Source organism: Homo sapiens, chromosome 8 (genome assembly GCF_000001405.40).
Source record: "Homo sapiens chromosome 8, GRCh38.p14 Primary Assembly".
Lineage (NCBI taxonomy): Eukaryota > Metazoa > Chordata > Mammalia > Primates > Hominidae > Homo > Homo sapiens.
Window position 1 is genome coordinate 8,561,159 of NC_000008.11, and position 25,353 is coordinate 8,586,511.

General features: G+C 43.4%; 1 long non-coding RNA gene and 1 pseudogene across 1 annotated transcript, besides 2 other annotated features; one reads left to right on the forward strand and one right to left on the reverse strand.

The window, feature by feature from the left end:
• The first annotated feature begins 202 nt into the window (after window positions 1–202).
• LOC105379224 (uncharacterized) lies at window positions 203–12,883 on the forward strand. Its single transcript, NR_188124.1, has 3 exons — window positions 203–376; window positions 8,029–8,658; window positions 12,560–12,883. It is a non-coding gene; the product is annotated as an uncharacterized LOC105379224 (long non-coding RNA).
• Window positions 8,100–8,199: an enhancer, noted in NCBI's record as "active region_26969". NCBI's record gives its function as "activates an Ori minimal core promoter by ATAC-STARR-seq in GM12878 lymphoblastoid cells {active_cell/tissue: GM12878}" and the evidence as "EXISTENCE:reporter gene assay evidence [ECO:0000049][PMID:35858748]".
• RN7SL178P (RNA, 7SL, cytoplasmic 178, pseudogene) lies at window positions 21,194–21,497 on the reverse strand (annotated as a pseudogene).
• Window positions 21,665–22,164: an enhancer, noted in NCBI's record as "H3K4me1 hESC enhancer chr8:8440333-8440832 (GRCh37/hg19 assembly coordinates)". NCBI's record gives its function as "activates a minimal SCP1, AML or CMV promoter by ChIP-STARR-seq in naive H9 embryonic stem cells {active_cell/tissue: H9 hESC(naive)}" and the evidence as "EXISTENCE:reporter gene assay evidence [ECO:0000049][PMID:30033119]".

A 25,353-nucleotide genomic window follows, 5' to 3' on the forward strand; every position in this document is an offset into this window, starting at 1 on the left:
ATTGTGTTTGAAGGTTATTTTGTCTCACTGTTTTTCCCCCAGATACTTCTAAAGCTGCTGTGCTCATAACTAGGGAAGCAGAAGAGGAGATCGTCCTCCTGCCCTGGCAACCAGGGATGATGGCACGTGCCTAGGCTCAAGCATGGCAATTCTCCCATCCAGAACTTGGAATCTTCGGGGTATGTCACAAAGACCCAGGGTCAGTTTGCAAATTATTCCCAGAAGTTGTGGCAGCATCAAGAGTCAGGCAGGGGCAGCAGCCCACGTTCAGCTGGAATTCTGTGGCTTAACCCAGGGGTTTTCTATGTGTCATGAGAGATAACACAACACTCTCACCAACGAAGTTGAATAAATTATATTTAGGACTCACAAGCTGGTGAGTTCTAGGAGGGAACAGCTTATGTTGGAAGGCAACTAAGGTGGTTTAGGGGCGGCTTTGGGCTTTTATTATGGCTAGGGGATGAAGTTGGGCTGGGGCTGGCACATGGGCTAGACGGGGTACTATCTGAGGTTCCTGGACATTGACAGGGGCACAGAACATCCACGGTCTTCTTAACTTGGTTGCCCAGGTGTGGGGCAAGCAGGGAAGGGGAGTGGAAACCTACCAGCTGGCGATGGACAAATGTCGCAAATGGAGTGAGCTCCTTTATAACATGCCTTGTGTGTTATTCCAGGTTCTCACTTCACAGAGCTGATAGTGTGAGATCTCAAAGAAACTGCCATGAGAGTCCTTTTCATATTAAGTTAACCAGACTTGATTTCTGTAGCTTGCAATCAAGAATCTTAACTGATGCCAAAAGAGTGAGGAATTTTGAAAAACACTGACATGCCATTTCAGATTAAACAAACAGACATGCAAACAAGCACAGAAGAACTGTGAGCACAGTTCCAAAGCAATGAGACAGATTTTCACAAATGCGTATTCTTTCTGCAGTGAGGACTACAGCAAATCTCAGAGGTCACAATGTTGGGAGAGCTCTTAAGAGGTCATGTACTTTAGGCCCGGCGTGACGGCTCATGCCTATAATCCCAGCACTTTTGGAGGCCGAGGTGGGCTGATCATTTGAGTCCAGGTGTTCAAGACCAGCCTGGCCAACACGGCAAAACCCCATCTCTACAAAATATACAAAAATTAGCCAGGCATGGTGGCAGGTGCCCTGTAATCCCAGCTACTCAGGAGGCTGAGGCACAAGAATCGCCTGAACCCGGGAGGCGGAGGTTGCAGCGAGATGAGATCCTGCCACTGCACTCCAGCCTAGGTGACAGAGCCAGACTCTGTCTCAAAAAAAAAAAAAAAAAAAAAAATTGGTCATGTACTTCAGTCTTCGGTGCAAAGATTCTTCAGACACCTAGCATTTTAGAGTGTGAAAAGAAACAAGAAATCGTCAGGAAACAAATAAACAAAAAACCTTCATTTGCTGATAAGAAAACCTCTGCCGAGAACAAAGTTCTTTTCCCGATCATATCAGGAGTAATAAAGGATCAGAAAGCAGGCATTTAAACTTGCAGTCGAGGGACCCTTTTATCATAGCTGGCAGCTTCTTGGAATTCAGTTCAAGAGGCTTTCTCATGCCTTGGTTGTAGGAAGACCAGACTCTCCCTTCACAAGGTATAAAAGTTTTATCCTGTATCAATGCCACAGTGGTCTGAGGCTGTCTGGCTCATTTATTGAGACTAATGTATTGATGAAGCCAAGGTCATACACTTGAGTCAGGAAAGAGCTGTCCATTTGGCTCAGGATGCATGGTAGAGTGTGGAGATGTTGTCCAGCCATGCTGTAAAAATGGGACCCTGCCAGGGGTTGGGAGGGGCTGGGGAGGAGTATGTGAATATCTCCGTAAATCCATTACTGCTGCTCAGAACACAGGGCAGAAGCACGCTCCCAGCGGGGCTGAGATGAAGGCAATGGCGTCAGCTTTATGTAGAACAGCTGTAATTTAGACTCTGCTTTAGAAAACAAAGTGTATTTGGCCCCAAACAGTGAAGAATTCTATTTTGCTAAACAAAACAGCCTTGCCGTTTAGGAAACATCCTTTCTCTTAGGGTAAATGCCAGATGCTTCTTCACGTAAGAACTTTCCTATTCCCCCTCTGCTCTTCACTCCTGACCAGGCCTGACCTATGAAAGGGAGAAGGGGGCCAGCCCATGAATATTCCTTGCCATGGGCCACCAGTTGCCAATGCTCACTCACCAATTTCTTATTGTTGTAATAAATTTAGAGAGAAACTGCAGCCATAAAAAAGAATAAGCTCATGTCCTTTGCAGGGACATGGATGGAGCTGGAGGCCATTATCTTTAGCAAACTAATGCAGGAACAGAAAAACAAATATCACATGTTCTCACTTATAAGTGGGAGCTAAATAATGAGAACACATGGACACAGGGAGGGGAACAACACACACTGGGGCCTATTGGAGAGTGGAGGGTGGGAGGAGGGAGAGGATCAGGACAAATAACTATTGGGTACTAGGCTTAGTACCTGGGTGATAAAATAATCTGTATAACAAACCCTCATGACATGAGTTTACCTCTGTAACAAACCTGCACATGTACCCCTGAACTTAAAAGGAAAGTATTTTTTTAAAAAAGTTTGGAGAGAACCAGGAGCACTAAATGAATGCCTGAAACAGACAGTAAATTCAGAGCAGTGAAAGACATCCCTGTGGGCTGAATGAATTAAGAATTAGTTGGAGAAAGAGCTGACACTTGAAGAATGGGGAGGATTTCACGGGGAGAGGGGTGTGGGGGTATTGGAGGAATCATTCCTAAACAGAGACACCGGGGAAAAGGTGTTCTAGACACACTCTGAGCAACCTGGAAAGAGAATTGAGGGAAGAGGAAGGTTTATTTAGGAGGGACGGAGGGGAAGAGGGTGAAAAAGCAGCTTGAGGCCCTATTGTGTGGACTCGGGGACAGGTTGAGTAAGTGCGGTCTTCCTTCCTCTGTAGGTAGTGGGAACTATTTGCAGCTTTTTGAGCAGGGGAGGAATGACGATCAAAGCTGTATTTAAGGAAGAAGAATCTGACAGTGCTGCGTGGGCTTTGCTGGAACTGGGCAGTGAGAAGGCTAGAAATTGCATTTGTTCCGGTAAAAGTGATAAAAAAGAAATGATCAGAAGTGGAAAGGTGGGTTAGTGAACCAATGTTTCCACCTCTGAAGGGCCACGGAGCCAGGGAGGAGGATTTACTCTTCTCTGTTAAGAAGGAGCTCTGCTGTCCTGACCAAATGCCAGAAGATGTGACTTTGCTCAGACCAAGCTACCAAAGACCACTGCCCTTCGTTCCACGAGCCTGGCCCTGTCTACACAGACAGGCAACCCAGGAGCCTGATCCAGGAGCCGACAGGTAACTCTGGGCCACACAGCACTTGGCAACTGTACGTGCATAAGGAGTCTCTGTAGATGAGAGGTTCTATCGAAAACAGTGTGTTTAGCAGAGAACAGTGTGGAATTCCATGCATGGGTGATGTCATCTGCTTTGTTTGGTACCTGCCCAACCAGATACGAACTGAGGGCCATGAAAGCTGACTCACCTTCGCAGCAGAAGGTGAGCTGAGAGTCCCTGGCCCTGGCTCCCCAAAGCCTGACTTCAACCAACTCTATTTCCCTACTGATGAGAAGCTGAGTGCACCTGTCTCCAGGCCGCCAGGCCTGTGGGTCCTGTCCTAGAGCTCACCTTCCAAGCCCTCAGCCCCATCTCACACACTCACACACCTGGGAAAGGAAGAAAAAGACAGGAGAGATATTCACATTTTGTTGTAAAACCTTTTAACTAGACTACATATAGGTATTAAAAACCTGGGGCTGGGTGTGAAGGCTCATGCCTGTAATCCCAGCACTTCGGGAGGCGGAGGCAGGCAGATCATTTGAGGTCAAGGGTTCAAGAACAGCCTGATCAACATGGTGAAACCCCATCTCTACTAACAACGACAACAACAAAATAGCCAGACGTAGTGGCACATGCCTGTAGTCCCAGCCACTTGGGAGGCTGAGGCACTAGAATCGCTTGAACACAGGAGGCAGAGATTGCAGTGAGCCGAGATCACACCACTGCACTGCAGCCTGGGTGACAGAGTGAGACTCCGTCTCAAAAAAAAAAAAAAAGAAAAAAAGAAAAAGAAAACAACCTGGGCCATTGCCAGTCTGTGTTTATCCAGGGCTACTGGTCAGAATATTCTGCCTGAATTAAACAGCCTACCCAGTCAAAGAAGTCGTCTAATATCTATTTTACAGAACTGACCAAATGTGTGACTATACCGGCTGTTCAGTTCATATTCTCAAAAGGTACAAATATTCTACCATCCTAAAAGTGCATCAGAAGACTTACTCAGACCCTGGCATCTTATCACTACATTTTGAGTAATAATTTTTTTGTTTCTTTCCTGTTACCACCTACATCCAACACATTTATGTGTAGCAAATAAATTATCCTTGTCACAGATATTTACAACTGCTGATTTGTTGCTCCATAAGCCCAAAAGGAGAAAACAGGGGTCAGCCTGACACAATTGGTAAAGAAAAAAATGAGATAAAGGGGATGTAAACATGTCTGTGATGTGGGGATATAATTATGGCTGGTGCACGTGCTGGGGTCAGGACACAGAATGAGGAAGTCCTGGGTTCTTGGATCCCGGAGCCCAGAGCAGAAGCAGAGACCAGGCAAGCCAGGAAGATGAAGTTGCGCTCTGGAATTCCTTGGCCCTTAAATGTACAAGTGCGGCAGGAGCAGTAGTGGCAGCCTCTTTTGCTTGTCTCCTCCAGTTCCTGCTATGGAGGGTCCCAAGGAATCCTCTGTTCACTGGGGCGAGTTGATGAACTTGGCTCAATGGCTTAGATATGAAAGCATTTCTGGCACATGTGTGTAGTCAGGGGAAATCACGATCTGCTGGAGCTTTGCTGGAACGTTCAGAGGACGGTTTCATTTCATGAAAAACTCCATCGTGGTTGGGCCCGGTGACTCATGCCTGTAATCCCAGTGCTTTGGAAGGCCAAGGTGGGAGGATCACTTGAGATCGGGAGTTCAAGACTAGCCTGGGCAACATAGCAAGACCTCATCTCTACAAAAAAACTTTTAAAAAATTAACCGTGCATGGTGGCACCTGCCTGGACGCTGAGGTGGAAGGATCTCTTGAGCCCAGGAGTCTGAGGCTGCAGTGAGCTATGATTGCACCACTGCACTGCATCCCCGGCAACAAAGTGAGACCTTACCTCAAATAAATAAATAAATAAATAAAATTTAAAACTCCATCCTCCAAGAAAGAAGTCAGGTCGGGGAAGCCTGATTCCTAGCAGAATCCCACAGGGAAGGAGAAAGACAAGCAAAGGGTTTCTTACTAAGCAGCGCTGCAATTGGCTACAGGGAACATTGCGTTTTTCAGGCCCCAGTCCAGTCGTGGGTTCTGCGACTGTGCTCTGGGCACAACCCTGCAACCCTCCTGAAAGGCCAAGTGAGAAGAGACTGGAGAAGCTGAATCCTGGTGACTCTTTCTCAGGGGTGTTGTCAGGGAATGTGCTATGCACAGATCCAAGGAGGAACTGTGCTTGCTACTCTGTTATGGGACACAGCTGTTATATGCCCGGTCCATGGTTGGCACTCTGTTCTGCAAAGTCAAGGTGGGAACCATGGCAAGGGCATTTCACAAGGCTCTCTATCTGTTTTGCCCTGCTGCAAACAGAACAGATTCCTGGGCCCACCCAGCCCTTTGAAAGCCAGGTAAAATTGCTAGGATAAGGGGTTTTCAAGCCCAGGCCTTCAGCAAAGCAAAGTCTTCTCCAAGATGCTTTCAGATCCCTGGAGGGCTTACATTGTCATGGTTCTCTCTGCTGAGATGCTGCCTCCTTAAAAGTGCACATAGCTTTGCTGAAGATGGGAAACTTTCCTGATTTCCGTGAGAAAAAAAGAAACTAAACAGCTAGCATGAGACGCACATGTAAGTATAGTAAACTTTAAGAAAGCTGGAAATCACGGTTTCATAGTACACCCAACATGGCAAGAAATCCTAAAAGTCTGGATTAGACATTCCTGTTCCCCAGCACCTTTTCAGTGTCTGTTGCTGGGGGCTGCTCTTTTGGTCCTTCAGTGAGATGGGGGCAAATATTAAAAGTGATGGTAAAAACCGCACTTACTTTCACACCAACCTAATATGTCCCTTCCTACCTGTAGCTCCTCTCTCCTCCCTTTCTCTTCCTGTCTTTTCTTCTTTTCTTTCTCTACTTCATCCCTGTAGGAACAAACATTTCTGCCTACGCCCCTGGAGTTTCACCATCTAACTTAAGCTGCCATCCAGATATTTTTCCAAACAAAGACACAGTCGATTCTTATTATTCATAGTAGTTCTATTTTATAAAATCATAGCAAACACTGAATCAGAGAGTGCTGAACCATTGCGTCTCGGGGAAACAGAGGATTAGGTTCCTGCAAATCTCTGGTCATGACATTTTTATTAACTGATTAATGGATAACCTTGTTTTATGTGTTTTTCTTTTTAAAGACAGTGTGTTTTTTACGTATTTATTTTGAGATGGAGTCTCACTCTGTCACCCAGAGTGGAGTGCAGTAGCACAATCTCAACTCACTGCAACCTTCACCTCCTGGGTTCAAGTGATTCTCCTGCCTCAGCCTCCCAAGTAGGTGGGATTACAGGTGCCCACCACCACGCCTGACTAATTTTTTTGTATTTTTAGTAGAGACGGGGTTTCACCATGTTGGCCAGGCTGGTTTTGAACTCCTGACCTCGTGACCCACCTGCCTCAGCCTCCCAAAGTGCTAAGATTACAGGGGTGAGCCACCACGCCCAGCCAAGACACCATATTTAATATATACTGTTTACTCATTAACATTGAACTCCCGACCACTAGTGCTATAACTCATGCCCTAATGAAGCTTCTTGAACACACGTACTTCTCCGTAAGGCACATCACAGCCTTCTTGTACTTAGGACCACTAGACCGCTCTTCAGCACTATTTGAGGCCATTTTAAACGCAAAATCACTAACAAAAACCATAAAAATGTAAAACAAGTGCCACTAAATAGATTTCCAAAAGGACTCTTGTTTACTGTATAAGAGCTAAAACAAGAAGGCAGAGAGCCACCTTGTTCAGCCTCAGCTGGGAACAGGAGCCTCAGGTGACAATTTTTTCACTGCTCTGTGGATGTATGCTAGTGGTTACAAAAGCACCACAAGTACTGATTTGGAGGTTACAAATTAATTTTAGCAGGTAAGTGAAGTCAGAAATCTGAAATTAGTAAATAATTAGGATCAACTGTATGTCCTATTTTAAGAAGCATAATAGTGCCAACTGCGAAGGTCACAGTTTTTCCTTTGTCATGTATATATTGGCTTTTGTATGATTTTATTTGAAAAATTGGCTCTGCTGGTTGAAGGAGATTTGAAAATAATGGCTTTAGAAAACCTGATTCATAGCTCATTAAAGTTGTGGTTATTAGTCTTGTAACAAGGAACTGATGAAGCTTGTCAACTAAGTTGAATCTTATATCTAAAAAAGAGCAATATTTGTCCACATGAACAGAACAGAGGAGTCCAGAGATGGGAATGTGGTCTCTAAATGGGACCTTAAGAGTGAAACTTTTCCCTCCCTTCAGCCTGAGACACATTCTTCAGGCCTTTCAGAGTTTTCAAGAATATCCTGCAGATCACTGCAAACCTGGGGAATGTCCTGTTGTTTCAATTAAAAGACAAGAATGACTCTAATAAATTCAGGTGTTCGGGTTGAAAATCAGTACCAGTCTCTTCTGAAAAGTTTACCCTGAGGCTGTAGGATCAGCGCTGGGTGAAATGCAGTAAACTCAGACTGATGATAGGTTTACTGCAAGAGATTTTATGTTTTTTGGAGATTCACCAAGATTCCCAGGTATGGCGCCACTAACTGTTTTCACAGCTCTCCTCTGCTTGCTTTCAGCCGTCAGGCATCACTGAAGGATAGATGGGTGGGTATGTGCATGTGCATGTTATTTTCATTTTCGTTACTTGAGCAGCATTGACAAGCCTCAGTCTTTTGCGGTCCGCAGATCATGATTCTTGGCTATGCAAACCTGAGGCTGATGCATCCTCCAGCAGCTGACCACGGACATGTGCAGCATCACAGTGACAGATGGCATTTCAACCACTTGGTTTACACCTTCCTCCACTGTCACCACCATTCTGACAGAAATGAGTTCCATTTGCTCCATTTTACATAAGGGCAAAAGGCAGCATTGACTCACCAAGTTTACACAGTTAGGGAAAAGAGCAACCAGGTCAGGATCAGATACAACAAAGAAGTGATTGCAGATGTTAAATGGAACATAGCTCTGGTCGTTTGATAAATATTCAGTAATTTCTTCAGTTTGTTAAGAAAAATTATCCAAAATTTACAATTACAGAGGAAGCAAAATTTTACCTGTACCCTATTTTTTTTTTTCTGGGGCTAAGAATTAAATTGACTTAAGACAGACATAAGACAGATCAACAGCAGAAGAACAAATTTACTTAATACAAGTTTTACATGGCAGGAGAGACTACATAAGGAAATGCAGACCCAAAGGCACAGTTAGATTGAACACTTACATACAGAATTAAAGAGTCATGAATTGTGAAAATGTCACAAGGCCAAGAAGCTTGGGCTGAGTGGTTAATTGAGTGAAAAAGTGGCTCGGAAGGTAAGTTTAGTCTAACAAGGTTTGTTTGTACAAATTTCCCTTGGCCTCAACTTCCTATCCTTGATGATAAGAGTGATGCTTTCCTTCTGCTATAGGGAAGGGATCTTTCACAAGCGAATTTCATCTCCTACTTGTAAGAAACAGAAAGTCAGAGTGACCCTCTCACACCTGTTGTTTTTCAGGTGCCCTAAACTCAAAATAGTCAATATGTCAGAGCGGCCTATTTTGGGGTGGTGTGTAACCCCTGAAAACGTAGAGTTGTCCTCTCAATGGTATATTAAGGCATCATTTAAAGGTTATTTCATTATTTAGGAAAGCAGTTTTCAAACTTTGCTTCATAATTGGAAACACCTGGGATGTTCGAAAACTATGGCTGCCTGGCTCCCACCCCTAGACATCCTGATTTAATGGTGGGGGGTGATGTGATAGGCTAAACAATAACCTCCCAAAGATGCCCACCACCTAATCCTTAGACCCTATGAATATGTTCCCTTACATGTAAGAGACTTTGCAGATATGATTAAGTTAAGGCTCTGTAGATGGGGAAAATATCCTGGATTATCTGAATACGCCCAAGGTCATCACAATGGTGATTACCAAAAGAAGGCTGGAGGGTCAGAGTCAGAGAGATAAGGCTTAAAGATGGAGGCAGAGGTCAGAGAAGACCCTGTGCTGTTGCCTCACACGGTGAGGAAGGGGCCACAAGCCAAGAAATGCATGCAGCCTTTAGAAGGTAAAAAAGGCAAGGAATGGATTCTCCTCTAGAGCCTCTAGAAGGAAGCAGCTCTTTGGACCAATTTTCAACTCTGACCTCCAGAACTGTAAGAGAATAAAGCTGGATTGCATTAAGCCACGATGTTTGTGGTAGTTTGTAACAGCAGCAATAAAAAACTAATACATGTGGGATCTCGGGTGTCACGATCAAAAAAAAATTTCTCCAAGTGATTTTAACATGCAGAAAAGTTTGAGAACCCATCAATCTAAGGAAAGGTACTTGTGTTTGACTCTGTCATTAACTTGGTTCAGAGCTAGACACTACTGTGAGGTTACATGTTAGTTTGTAGATTTCTATTTGGTAGAGATGATAACCTCAATTTCAGATTGTATTGCCTGTAGGATGTTAACAGTTTTGCGTCTAATCCAGGAATCTTATTCTGGCATTTTTCCCCCTAAAATGCCTCTGAATATTCAGTTCCTCAAAATGCTTTTGGAACCAGCATTACCAACATACTGGTTCCCTCAATGAGTTGAATACATTTTTGATGCCTGTTCATTCTATATTTAGATGACAGTCACGTTTCTAACTCTTTGGATATACACTTTCACATGTTCAATAAGTATTTACAAGGAGGCAAAAACAAAATGACATGAGGATACCAATATTTTCCCATTGAAATAGATTGAAGTAAGATGGAAGAACTTTTTCTGAAGTTAGGGAGATGAGGTCAGATCAATCACTGTCAGTGAGGCCACACAGATTGGCACTGGGGTAAACCCATCTTCTGCAGCCACCTTCCTAATTCTCAGGCCCTGCTGTTGGGCAGGACAGGCTTGAAATCCTTCTCCTCCTTCATAGCTGTATAATCTTGAGAGTATCTTCTTATGGCCTCAATTTCTTCATCTGAAAAATTCTAATGGTATATGTCAGAGCATCGGGAGAGGAATTTCAAGAAATTGCATAGAAAGCATACAGCCGGGCACCAAGGTAGTAGTCCTCAATTTAAACATTACACAGACAACTGAGCAGAATTGCTCACGAGTGGCTGCCGGCAGCAATCCCCACTTTTGTTACCTCTGGAAGTGATGATGATACCACTGACAGTTGCAGGGGCAGGTAGATTCCATTAAACGGCTGAAAGAGTAAATTTGCTTCCAAGAAGATCTAACTTTTGGCTGGGTAGAAATTTCAACACAAAGGAGAGCCTGACCCCATTTACTGTGCACTCAGGCAGCCTGCAGGACTTTGGAGCTGATGGTCTACATATCACACTGGGGATAGGATGCCATTACCGACCTGCTTTCCCTTTGACATTTCTGCCATTTAGGTACTTTCCTCTTACTGATAGGCTGCACCTGGTTTCATGTTACATGTGTGGCAGCTAAATGGGAATTCATGAGCTTGGCATGTCTTCCCATAGCTAGCCCTCAACAAGACTGAAAGAGTGGGCACTATTTGTAAATGAAAAGACTGTGGGCAGACAGGCAGTCAGCAGCAGAAACTACATTCGTTTACAAATCTCCTTTGCTTGGCTCCAAGGGACTACGTGTCCACACACATAAATACACAGAGGTCCTCATCAGGGCCAAAGACGCATGTGCCTCTCAGCCACCTCTAGGAAATTCTCCCCTGGGCTGCTGAGATTGAGATAACCTTACAAAGGCTCATACGTAGAACTGGAAGGAAGTCAAACCCAGCAAAGACAAATGATTGAGAATCCGGAGAGATTGATTTCAGGGATTAAATACCTACTCGGTCGATTGATCCAACCGTGAATCAAGATAGATAGGAGTGACAACCATGCAAGGAATTTTGACAAGATAAAGTGCCAGATAGGTAAGGCCTCATTTAAGGTCACCCAGAGGTTATGTGGGAAGTAAGTAAAGCAAGAAAATTGCATCTATCACTAGACTAGGAGAAAACAAAAGAGAATGTATAACATTGCTAAACATGAAGGACAGCTGCAGCCCTTCATTTGGGTAAATTATGTAGATGAATCAGATATTTTTATTTATAAGTATGCAAAGTTCATTAATTCCATTGATCAGTTGTATAACAAATATTTACTGGCGTTCCACAATTACTAGGCATGCTAAGTATACATGAGAAGTACAACCAGGGCTGGGCACAATGGCTCATGCCTATAATCCCAACACTTTGGGAGGCTGAGGTGGGCAGATCACTGAGGTCAGGAGCTCAAGACCAGTCTTCTGGTCAATATGGTGAAACCCTTTTTGTACTGTAAATAAAAATATTAGCCAGGAGTGATGGTGCACGTTTGTACTCCCAGCTACTCAGGAGGGTGAGGCAGAAGAACCACTTGAACCCGGGAGGCACAGGTTGCAGTGAGTCGAGATTGCACCACTGCACTCCAGCCTGGGCAACAGAGCTTGACCATGTTCAAAAAAAAAAAAAAAGAAAAGAAGAGTACACTCAGCCTCAAGGAATGCATATTATCTCAACGCCACTGTGCAGATATATAGCTAGTAGAATTGTGTCATAGGAATGAGCAGTTCATATAGCTTGGATTTTCTGTCCCTACCAAACCTCACGTCAAATTGTAATACCCAGTGTTGGAGGTGGGGCCTGGTGAGAGATGACTGGATCATGTAGCCAGCTTGCTCATGAATGGTTTAGCACCATTCTTCTTGATACTGTCCTGCTGATAGTGAGTGAGCTCTTGTGAGATCTGGCTGTTTAAAAGTGCATAGTACCTCCTCCCTCGATCACTCTTGCTCCTACTCTGGCCATGTAAGATGTGCCTGCTCCTCCTTCACCTTCTGCCATGATTGTAAGTTTCCTGAGACCCCCCCAGAAACCCAGCAGATGCCAACAACATGTTTCCTGCACAGCCTGCAGAACTGTGAACCAATTAAACCTCTATTATTTATAAATTACCCCATCTCAGGTATTTCTTTATAGCAATGCAAGAATGGACTAATACAGTGAGATATGAGGGATATTTAAAATTAGGATTATTTTATGTAATTTAGTATCTACTTCTATATGGTTAGGTAGTCCTGCTTCGGACATCTGGAAATAAGCTCTTTTCTCTATTTCAATTTTAGGAGACTTTAACAAATCTAGTGTAGTTCACTTCTTAACCAATTAATTGATGTGTGAGTATTTATTTGTCACAGGCAAAATACCACATAAGGAACATTTTCTCTTCTTCCGCCAAAGGTATCTCCGCCCTATGAAGGCCTTGATGGGGAGCAACTCAGGCCTTGAAGGTAAATGTCCTGTCCCACAGGTGCCATGAGCTCCGGGAAGTAGAGACGTGATCAGACTCCCCTGCTACAGCCTTGTACTTGTCACCGAAGGGAGATGTGCAGGTGCAAGCCCGACCAAGGGACACCTCCGTGGCCATGACAGCTTTTCTTCTTAAAAGAAAAAACCGGACCGTGGGTTCAGAAATCCAAATCCATTTGTTTATACTCGATTCATACCAAAGACTACAAAATATACTTGTTAATCTATATTTAATATAGCTACTTAATACATTTAGTCATCTCATTTTTAATATTTTTTATTATTCATTTTAATCTCTTTTCTTATTTACTTAACAGCAAGCTTATCCTTAAAGATCATCTCATTTTTAAATTTTCATTCTATACTTCAGATATAGTTTCAAATTATCTTTTTTAATTGAAAATCGCAATTTGAGAACTACGGAAAGGTATCATTGAACCAGAAACTCCTGAACCTGAGTATAGCTGAGAATGCCTGAATGTAGCTGGGTGTACCTGAGTTTACCTTAGTTTACCTGAGTCAACCTGTGTTCCTGCACAGACCATATAAATTTTCTCCCAGATAAGAATGAAGATGCGGCTAACAGACATAACCTGTGAGGGGCAGCAGTGTCAGCCCTGGTCTTTCCATTAGCTGCAAAGGAAGTCTGAAGCAGGCTAGACTGTGCCAGAACGAACCGTTTCAGAAACTGCTCAGGCCTGAGTGTGAAATGGGCATCGGATGTAAACAGAACCATGACACAGACTTAGGAATGTTTACTAAATGGCATCTCACCCCCGTAATAGAGATGGAGGCAGCCTTGAACCCCAAACCTCCCAGGAGGTGGAAAGATCAGGTAGGAAGGGGAAGGAAGATACCAAAGTCTTTAGCAAGGTGACTCTTCCGCATTACAAATGCAGTTTCAGAATTCATATTCCCGCTGCAAGGGAAAGAGTAGGACGCGGACAGAGAGATTGTGTGTATTTCATCCTGGCTACCTTAGGAATGGCTTCTGGAACATGTTTTATGCTCTAATGAGTCGTGTTAGGCTTCTCACATGGCACCAAATAGAATTTGTCAGTTTGCTACTGATGTATTAGCAAATTCTGAATTCGCCCCCACCCCCTCACACTACTGTTTTTAGGACTTTTATTTTCAGATGCTTTAGTAATGATAAAAGATGAAACATGCTTAATACTATGAAGAATCAGTTACATTAACAAACTCTCACATCCCTGTGTTTGGAAACGTAACTCAGCATAGGGGCACAGTCTGTCAGTAAGACCCAGGTTAACCCTCTTTCTCCCTTCCCTTGTTAGCTGCACAATCATCTGTTGAAAGCCTCTTGTAGTCTCTGCCTCAGTTCTCCGGTGCTAAATGGTTGTTCTTCTCAGAAGAACATAATAAAAATTAAGCAAGACAAAAATAGAACAGTTTCAATGCGAAATCATTTAGTTAGAAAAATATACCTAATTTTTCTGCTTATATTTGCAAAGAAATCCTGCAATAAATATTTTGAAAGGAATGAAGATGAGTCCAATAAATTTATATTTTATTTTTATAATGGACTTTAGAATATAGAGGGACTCAGTTATGTTAGTAAATGCAATACTTTGCAAAACACTTTGCAAATGTGAAGAACTTTAGTCCAACTATTTATACGTCATATCACTTTTCTATTGCTGCATTAAAAAGCTCCAAACCTAGGAACTTGAAATAACAAACACTTTGTTTCACATAGTTACTAAGGTTCAAGAATCTAGGAATGGGGTGGCTGCATGGTTCCGGCTCAGGATGTCTCACTAAGTTGCAGCTGAACTGTCATCAGCGGCTGTAGTCTCTGAAAACTTAGCTTCTGGGGCTGGAGGCCCCATTTCCAAGTTCAGTCATGTAGCTGCTGGCAGGAGGCTTCTGTTCCTTCCTATGTGGGACGCTCCATGAAACTGGTCACAACATGGCTTCCTCCAGAGTGAAACTGATTACAACATGGCTTCCCCCACCCCCAGAATGAAACTGATCACACAACATGGCTTCTCCCCAGAATGAAACTGATCGTAACATGGCTTCCCTGAGGGCAAATATCTACATGAGACAAGGAGCAAGTGTGATGAAATCAAAATATTTTATAATCTAATCTTGGAAGTAACATCTCATTACTTCTCTGTATTCTACTGATCAAACAGACCAGCAACCCTGAGCCAGTATGGATTTCGTCACACTACACAAAGATATGAATCCCAGGGGGCAGGGACCATCTTGGAGGCTTGGCTACCACAGAAAACAAGTTAAACAGATGATCCTTTTTAAAATCCTTGTCCTGTGGCTTTTAACATACTCATATTAAGATTAATAAGCCTATTTTACTAGTAGGGTCTCCATTTAGCCATAGAATCAGAGCCATCAACCTGGGACAAAAAGTAAGATTTTATCAACTAGTATAAAAATATACTAAACTACTCAACTGAGGCACTAAGGTATCCAATATTGAAATTCGTTGTGAGACAAGCATCAATTTTTCAAAAGAAATATCTGAAAAGTGGTTAGACAAGTCTTAGGCTTTGCACCCAAGGGCTATTCCCACATACCAGAAGTATAAAAAGGTCAAGAGAGAGGGAAATCAGAAAGAATGTGTGAGGGGAGTTGGTTTGGAAGGGGTAATTGATTGCTATGAGTTCTATCTAAAGGTGACGAGTGAGAGTAGCTTTAATTGAATTGTTTGGAGGGCTTCAAATGTGTTCTTTGTGGCTGAGGCTGCAGAATGGATGGACATCTGACTCTGTCCAGGAAATCTGGAAGTTAGGAGAGATGTGTTGCTGAGCTCATTGACACTCTGTAAAGAAGAGTCACTGGCTTGATAAAATCATGTCATTTGCAGCAACATGGATGAAACTGGAGGACATTATGTCAAATGAAATTAGACAAGCACAGAAAGACAAATATTGCATGTTCTCACTCACATGTAGGAGCTAAAAAATATTGATCTCACGGAGGTAGAGAATGGAATCATAGATACCAGAGGGCAGAAAGGGTATGTGGTGGGGAGAAGGGGGTTGGATAAAAATAAGCTGGTTAATCAGTACAAACATATAGTTAGATAGAAGGAATAGGTTTTAATGTTTGACAGCAGACTACGGTGACTATAGTTAACATGAATATATTGTATATTTCAAAATAATTGAAAGAGAGGACTTAAAATGTTCCCAACACAAAGAAATGATAAATATTCCAGGTGATGGATATTCTAAATACCTTGATGTGATCATTACACATTCTATGCATGTAACAAAATATCACATGTACCCTGTAAATATGTACAAATATGATGTATCAATAAATAAAAATTTAAAAATATATTTCTTAAATTAACTTTATCTGAAAGACATTCTACATACTGTACTCAGTCAATTGGATGTCATCATTTCATTCCAGGATCCTCTGCTAATTCCTGAGTTTACTGATTGGGATCTCTGCACTAATTTGAAATGATTTCCTAACATGCTCCTGCCCGGGATGATTGGAAAGGTTAACTACTATCTGACTGTTAAGCACCCTATAAATAAAAACAGCATGAGTAATACTAGCTATATAGTAGAAGATTAGTAACTGTGACCTTTTTAGCATAAAAAAGATACTTTATATTTTAAATGCCTTTTACCCCAGTGGGAAATACACAGAGGTGGTGTTGTGGGTTTTTAAAGGGTTGTAATAGGTAGCAGAGTAAGAGCATAGTTATGATAAATAATAGCTGTCAACTGAAGCATTCATGTAAAATTTATGATGTAGTCAAGTAACAATGACCCACTTTTCATCTCTATCACATTCAGCTGGAAACAATGAAGAATCAGTCTTTTGAGCTTTTGCATGTATTCTTTGATTTTTTTTAAAGACAATATACCAAATAAACAACAGTATAATAAAATCTCTCTAATGTGCATTCTGTTGATATGGGACTTGAACTTGACTAAAGTTTACGTTTGTACCACCTATACAAAAGTTATTTGCTCCGTTTAAAGAAAGAAAAGCTGGGAGTAAGAGTGTGTCTAAAAGGAAATAATTATTTTCAAATCTTCAATGTGTTGGTAACTGAACTCAGGTTACTATATTAATTTGGAAATAAAATTATTTAAATACTTTTTAAAAGCCAGGTATTATGGCAAATGCTTGTAGTCCCATCTACTTGGGAGACTAAAGCAGGAGGATCGCTTGAGCCCAGGAGTTGGAGTCCATAGTAAGCTATGATTGCACCAACACACTCCAGCCTGGGCAACAGAGTGAGACTCCATCTCAAAAAAAAAAAAAAAAGAAAAAAAAGAAAAACTTTTTTGAAAAGAGTCGCTGCTTGAGATTTCCTAGAATATGCAGAGTCAGCCTGGGCAGAGAATGCATAAATGTTTCCTATAGAACCAAAAAGGATCCTGGGTGAGAATGAGCTATCCTGGATCCATTTACAATCCAGGTAGAGGCCAACATGAAGGAGGAGAGACCAATGGAGAAATTCTTCATGGCCTAAACCAACGAAAAAACAAGGTCTGAACCTGGAGCGGCCATTGATGAAAGGGAATTGACCACATCTCAAGATCTGCGGTCTGAGGAGCACCGCTAGGAGAGTCTCCAAATATCCCACAAAATGGCTGATGAGAGAAAAAGTTGGTTTTAAAAATCTAGAGATCCCAAGAGAGTGAGTCACCTCAGACCAGTAGCAGTTGAGCAAGAACTTTCCAACATCCCCTTACTCCCTGCCCTCTCCCCTGCCTGCCTGGGTCCCAGTTGGCAAACTATGAGGGTAAGAGGACCTCCACCCCCCGCCATACCACACCCCAGCAACCAGGCAGCTCTCAGTGGGGTCCAGCAGGGGGAGGCAAGAGTTAACGTTAACTCAAGTTTAAAGTGTATTACCTGGGGCTGGACTTTTTTTGTTGTGTTGTGTTGTGTTTTGCTTTGTTTTGTTTTTGAGACCAAGTTTTACTCTGTCTCCCAGGCTGGAGTGCAGTGGCATTATCTCAGCTCATTGCCACCTCTGCCTCCCAGGTTCAAGCAATTTTCCTGTCTCAGCCTCCTGAGTAGCTGAGATTATAGACGTGTACCTGCCACGCCCGGCTAATTTTTTTTGTATTTTTAGTAGAGACGGGGTTTCACCGTGTTGGTCAGGCTGGTCTCAAACTTCTGGCCTCAAGTGATCAGCCCGCCTAGGCCTCCGGAAGTGCTGGGATTACAGACGTTAGTCGCCGTACCCAGCCTGGACGTTTATATTATTGGAATGACACCATGTGTCTTGAAATGTTTGAAGAACTTTTACCAAAGAGTTACCAAACCATGTTGTCAGAGAGTAGTCAACCCAGGGGCAGGGTTATGATGACACACTGTGAGACAAAATAAGGCTACTTATCTGATTATATCATATGATTTCTTGTTCGATTTATAAAGTTTACTAGCAGTGGCCTCTGTGTTTGATATTAGGGCCATTTTTACCAGGAGGATTCTGATGGCTCCAGAGGTGAATTACAGCTAGAACAGCCCATATTGTTACAGGGGAGAGATGGACAGAAAAACAAGTAAACTGGATGATCAATGGAGCCAAAATGTCCATCTTGTTCAAGGCCTGCAGGGTTAAGGCTGTAAGGGCAGTTTTTTCTCAAGGCCTCTGATAGGTCCTTAACCCACCCACATCAGGGTGAAAAACTTAGAAGCCCTTCAACCTTTGGTGCTTCATTTGTTTGTTCATTAAATCACTTATTCATTCAACGGTATTTTCCAGAGGCTCTACCACATGCCTGGAGCCCTTTTACTCTTAGAAAAACTGTCTCACTATCTTTTGTATGGAGCTGTTTTCTCTATCACCAAGACTTCTGAGTGTCATCAGCTGCGTTTAGCCGGGTGACAGCTTTCCTGTAAGGAATATGTGGACGGGGTTTAGAGAAAGTGGGTATTATATGTAAGTGTGATATCAAACAGGGACCCTGGAAACATCTGATACTTTTCTTTCATATATATTATATATTTATATATTTTATATATGTATGGATATATACACACATATCATATGTTCATATTTACATGTATATGTGTAGATATTCTTGGTAGTGCAGTTAGAAAAGACTTGGAATCTGGAAAGTTTACAGGAAAAATAGTATGTTCTATTTTTATAATACTTTGTGGAATGCTACCTGTTTTTTTCTCTTAAAAAAGTCATTCCTTTACAGCCCAACCCTCTCACATGCAAAAGATCCATTATCCATCTTGGCGAGTACCACAAAGGCAGAGTCGTTTTATTCTTAAAAAACACTAAAGTCTTCTGCTGCGTACAACATTTTCTTTCTTTCTTTCTTTTTTTTTTTTTTTTTTAGACGGAGTCTTGCTCTGTCACCAGGCTGGAGTGCAGTGGCGCGATCTTGGCTCACTGCAACCCCCGCCTTCCAGGTTGAAGCGATTCCCCTGCCTCAGCCTCCAGAGTAGCTGGGACTACAGGGACGCGCCACCATGCCCGGCTAATTTTTTATATTTTAGTAGAGATGGCATTTCACCACGTTGGCCAGGATGGTCTCGATCTCCTGACCTCGTGATCCGCCCGCCTCTGCCTCCCAAAGTGCCAAGATTACAGGCGTGAGCCACCGTGCCTAGCCTGTGTACGACATTTTAAATAACATTTTTGGGGTCTTATGTCTTTTGGGGGAAGATTTTTATATATATTTATAAATTATAACATTTAGATCCTTAATATATCTGAACTTAATTTGGGTGCATAGTGGTAGATAACAATGCATTGAATTGTCACTTCAAACAAATAAACAGCCAAATTTCCAAATACCGTATATGAATAATTCATAGCTGCCTACTTATTGGAAAAGAAATCTCTAACATATACTTAATTTCCATGTCTCTGTTTCTGTATTCTATTCAATCTGTATTCATGCTGGTATAAAAATATTTTAATATTGTAGTGTTAAAGTAAAAATTTTTTTAGAGATCGAGGTCTCACTATATTGCCCAAGCTGGTCTCAAACTCTTGGGCTCAAGGCATCCTCTGCTTCAGCTTCCCAAGTAGCTGGGACTACAGGGGTGCACCACCGTGCCTGACTGAAAGTAAATTTTGATATCTGGCAGCTCCTCAGTTCACTGAACACCTGGACTGCTCCAACCTGCCCCCAATCCAAACACCTTCACTTGATCTCCACATCTGCCCCTCTCGACATTCTGCTCAAGCAGGGGACACCTGTCTCAGCAGCAAGTTTAAGTGGAAAAGACTGAAGAGTTTTTTTTTTTTGGTTGATCATAGGTTTGCCACTTACAGTGTGGTAGCTAAAACCCAAGGCAACGTTAGGCTGTATGGATAGGAGAATCATGTTTAGAGAATGATAAATAATGGTTGTAGAATCATCTATCAGAATATATCTGGAGGTGGAGCGTGGTGGATCATGCCTGTAATCCCAGGACTTTGGGAGGCTGAGGCGAGTGGATCACCTGAGGTCAGGAGTTCGAGCCCAGCCTGGCCAACATGGTGAAACCCCATCTCTACTAAAGATACAAAAATTAGCTGGGCATGGTGGCACACGCCTGTAATCCCAGCTACTCAGGAGGCTGAGGCAGGAGAATCGCTTGAACCCAGGAGGCAAAGGTTGCAGTGAGCTGAGATCATGCCACTGCACTCCAGCCTGGGCGACAGAGTGAGACTCGATCTAAAAAAAAAGAAAAAAAAATCACATCTGGAGTCCTAGGCTCATGGCTGGGCACCCCCTGGGGACAGGAGAATTTCCATACTAGAATGAGGCCAGAGGACAGCTAGATTCCCAACCATATGAGGGAAACAGGGAGGGGTGCTTTGTCCTGAGAGGAGAGGACCCGGGAACTGCTGGAGATTGTCCTCAAGTTTAAAGAGGGGCTGTGCAAAACTATCTTGCCTAGAAGGAAAAAAGAAGGGAGTAGAAGAGTTAAAGAAAGCTAGTCCTCAGCTCTGTGTTGAGAATTTTCTAGAAAAAAAATAACATTCTCAAAACAAAAGGGCTGGACTTGAGGAGGTAATGGATGCCTGTAATCAAAAATACTTCAAAAGAAGCTGTGTGCTGCAGAAAGGATTCTGTTTGGATAGGAAAGTGAACTTGGTGCCTCTGTGGATCTTTTCCATTTCCTTATATTCACTTTCCCTTCCTTGAAACTTTTCAGCTCACAGTGCTTGCACCCTGTGCTAGATGATTATAGAACTTCTAGCCTGTACCTGACATTCATCTTGCAACGTTTCTTGAGCTGTTTTTTTTCTTACATTGTTATTTAAATTTCTACACTTTGTCTCTCTTGAGTTCAAGAACTATTCCTTGAAAGTCTTCCCCGCAAACCCCTTTCACAGCACCTAGTCCAGTTCCTTGCATTTAAAACTAGCTTGATACATATTATTTTTTTGTTCAGCAACATGCTGACTAATGTGCCACTCCTCCAAACTCCAGTCACCAAGAAATTCACAATGTGCTTTTTAAGGGTTCTCTTTCAGAAATGCCCACCTTCTTCTTTGATATCTCTAAAACTTTCATCCTCATTCATTTCCCCTTCTCCATTTCCTTTTCTGTTATTTTTTTCTATAATTTTTTTTTTCTCTTTAGAGACGGGGTCTCACTATGTTGCCCAAGCTGGAGTGCAGTGGCTATTCACAGGCGTGATCCCATTACTGATCAGCATGGGAGTTTGAACCTGCTCAATTCCCGGCCCGGGTGGTTTCACTCATCCTTAGGCAATGTGGTGGTCCCCCACTGCTGGGAGGTCACATGGATGCTGAACTTAGTGTGGACACTCTATTGGCATGGTGCACTACAGCCCAGAAGTCCTGGCCTCAAGCGATCCTCCCATCTCAGGCCTCCCACGCCCCTAGTAGCTGGGACTACAGGCACGTGCCACCGTGCCTGGCTCCTTTTCCATTATTTTTAAAGGAAAGAATAGTCTTTTCCTGAAATTAAGCCCCTTTTTTGCGGTCGGAATATAGACAGGAGGGGAACAGATGGCTGACTTTTGAGGAGACAATTCCAGGCTGCTGAGGCTTAACAAAGAGAATAAAGGGTAATTTACCAAAGACTTAGAAAGCCACAGGGCATTTGAGATTGTTTAAAGCCCCAGACCCACTGCCCTTGCCAACTCCTCCACACTGCCTCTCCCCCAGCCCCTCCAGCCTTCAGAAAAACGTGAGGTTGCCAGGCTGCCACCAACATAGCCACTCGGAGGCTGTGGCTCTCCCAAGCACATGCGCGAGGCTGCACTGGCTAAAGGCTGGGTGCCATTGTCTTTCAGCAAATAGCCTTGGTTTGTGCACCTGGCTGCAATCCCAGGACCCCTGCTGTGAGAGCTAAACAGACAGTGTAATGGAGCATTGGGGTCTTTATTTCACTGTAGGGGGAATGCCTTGTTCGGGTTCTCATTTCTTTTTTTTTCCTCCCGAAAAACTCAGCTTGATGCTTCCTGCATCTGCTCTGTTGCGTGAGCCTGTGCGTCCAAAACCCCTTTTTATTCTATTCCTGATTTTCTTTAAGTAGAAAGCTTGCAAAATGGCCCCATCTGCTTCTTTCAGACTTGGGCCACAAAGGGAACCTCCGTTCGCCACAAAGACATGTCCCTTGGTCACTCTGTTGGGCTATCTCCACTGCCATACTAACCCTACACAGAGAAGTCACCAGGACTGCCAGGAGAAAACGCTGTCTGTGCTTTTGTTTCCTTATATTCTGGAGAGAAATGTAAAATGTACAAGATTCACTGCAGAAATACCCAAGGGGCATGTGGGCCCCCTGGAACCCAGGGTGGCTGAAGCAATGCGGAGAGAACCTGAAGTGGGATGGAGGGAAAGTCATTAGCCACATGAGGCACTACACTGACTTCATCTGACCTCTGGGTTTTCGGGGATAAAAGGTAATGCTAGTCCGGGCGCAGTGGCTCAGGCCTGTAATCCCAGCAATTTGGGAGGCCAAGATGGGTGGGTCACCTGAGGTCAGGAGTTCGAGAACAGCCTGGCCAATATGATGAAACCCCGTATCTACCAAAAAATACAAAAATTAGCCAGGTGTGGTGCTGCACACCTGTAATCCCAGCTACTTCGGAGATTGAGGCAGGAGAATCGCTGGAACCTGGGAGGCGGAGGTTGCAGTGAGCAGAGATCATGCCACTGCACTCCAGCCTGGGTGACAGAGTGAGACTTCATCTAAAAAAAAAAAAAAAGGTAATGCTATATTCTGAGTTGCAACCAAAAGCCCTGTGGACTGGGGAGGGATTTGGCTTCATTTAGATTCATGAAGACCCAGACTCCGCACATACAAACCAGAGCAGCAGACATTCATGGAATTCTTTCCACAGTTGAACCTTGAACAGTGTGGGAGTTGAGGACATACCCTGGTGCAGTCGGAAATCCTCGTATAACTTTTGACTCCCGCAAAACTTAACTGTGAACAGCCCACTGTTGACTAGAAGCCTTACTGATAACATAAACAATCGATTAATACATATTTTTTGTGTGATATGTATCATGTACTGTTTCTTAGAATAAAGCAACCTAGAGAAAAGAATATGTTACTAAGTAAATCATAAAAAAGAGAAAATGTACTTTATTTATTTATTTATTGAGAAGGAATCTTCCTCTGTCGTTTAGGTTGGAGTACAGTGGTGTGATCTTGGCTCACTGCAGCCTCTGCCTCCTGGGTTCAAGCTATTCTCGTGCCTCAGCCTCCTGAGTAGCTGGGATTACAGGCACACACCACCACACCCAGCTAATTTTTGTATTTTTAGTAGAGACAGGGTATCGTCAGGTTGGCCAGGCTGGTCTCCAACTCCTGACCTCAGGATCTGCTTGCCTCGGCCTCCCAAAGTGCTCGGATTACAGGCGTGAGCCACTGCACCCAGCCAAGAAAATGTATTTAGTATTCATTCAGTGAACATCAATTATCATAAAGGTCTTCATCTTTGTCGTCTTCAGGTTGAGTAGACGAAGGAGGAGGAGGAAGAGAAGGGGTTGGTCTTGCTATCTCGGGGCGGCAGAGGTGGAAGAAAATTTGGATATAAGTGAATCTCTGAAGTTCCAATCTGTGTTGTCCAAGGGTCAGTTTTACTTTTTGTGCCCAGTAATGTGCCAAGTACTTGCAGGTGAGGGGAGTGAGGAACTTATATTCAGTCCCAAAAGAAACAGACACATTTTAATGTGATGCAATGATTGTTATGGCAGGTGTGCACCAGGAACAGTGGGTACCCACGGGTGGTGGCCAGTCCAGCTTCTAAAGAATGCTCAGAGTCTGGGTCTTTGTGAATCTAAATTAAGCCAAATCCCTCCCCAGTCCACAGGGCTCCAGGTTGCAACTCAGGATACAGCATTACTTTTTTTTTTTTTTTTTTTTTTTTTTTAAGATTGAGTCTGGCTCTGTTGCCCAGGCTGGAGTGCAGTGGTGTGATCTCGGCTCACTGCAACCTCCACTTCCCCGGTTAAATGTCTGATATTGTAGTACAAATAGAATTCCCAACAATTGGGCAAATCAGCAGAAAAGAGAGTTTCAGGAACAAGGTATCACACAAGCAAACTAGGAAAACATAAAACACCATTGTCTAAGAGGCAAAATCATAATCCCTCCTGGAAGTGCAGGCAGGCCCCTGCAGATGGTTTGGAGTACAAGGTACAGAAGCGGGAAACGAAGATGGTGAGGCAGGGCCACCTCAGAGATGGCATCTTGTAACAAATGAAGGGGCTCTAGGGAAAGAGATTCTGCTGAAGTTTTTAAGCAAGGAGAGACAGGTCCAGATTTGCCCCATAGAAGGATTGCCCTGGAAGTAGCAGGGGGCCAGGTGTGTTGGTTCATGTCTGTAATTCCAACATCTTGGGAGGCTGAGGCAGGTGGATCACCTGAGGTCACAGTTCAAGGCCAGCCTGGCCAACATGGTGAAACCCCTTCTCTACTAAAAATACAAAAAAAAAAGAAAATTAGCCCAGCATTGTGGCATGTGCCTGTAATCCCAGCTACTCAGGAGGCTGAGGCAGGAGAATCGCTTGAACTCAGGAAGTGGTTGCAGTGAGCCAGGATCGCACCACTGCACTCCAGCCTAAATGACAGAGTGAGACACCGTCAAAAAAAAAAAAAAAAAAAAAAGGAGGGAAGATGAATTTCGCAGAGGAAGTACTGCTGCACCGGGAGAAGCCATGGGCAGGTAAACCCTTTGGGTCACTAAACTCCCTATCCTTGGCTCCTGTACTTCTCTCACACTGCAACCCAGTATTTCCAGAAACTCTGTTGTCTTTACTTTCAAAATATTTCTACAACCTGCCTTTTCTCACCACCTCCACTGCTACCACCCTGTCTCAGCCACCAATATCTCTCACCTGGATTGTGGCTACAGCTGCCAGCCTTGTCTCCCGGTTTGTCTCTGGTTTCTTAAGTTTGTTCTCAAGGCAGCAGGCAGAGTGACCTTCTTAAAACAAACATCAGGTCCCATGATTCCTCTGCTCAAAACTCCACAATGCCTCTTCGTCCTGTTCAGCTGAAGTTCACATAGTGAACCCTCATCGCACTTCTAATCACTCTCTCCTGGCTCCTGCGCCTCCAGCTGTGTTGTTTCACTTGCACACTAGCAGCCACGTTCCCAATTGAAGGCCCCTTCCCTCTGTCTGCCATGTTTTCCCCCAGGGAACACGTGGCTTTTCTCCTTCAAGCCTTTCATAAAATGTTATCTTCTCAAAAAGGCTTACTCCAATTATCCTATTTAAAAAGGCAAACTACAGCTTCTCCACCCAAATTCCTCCT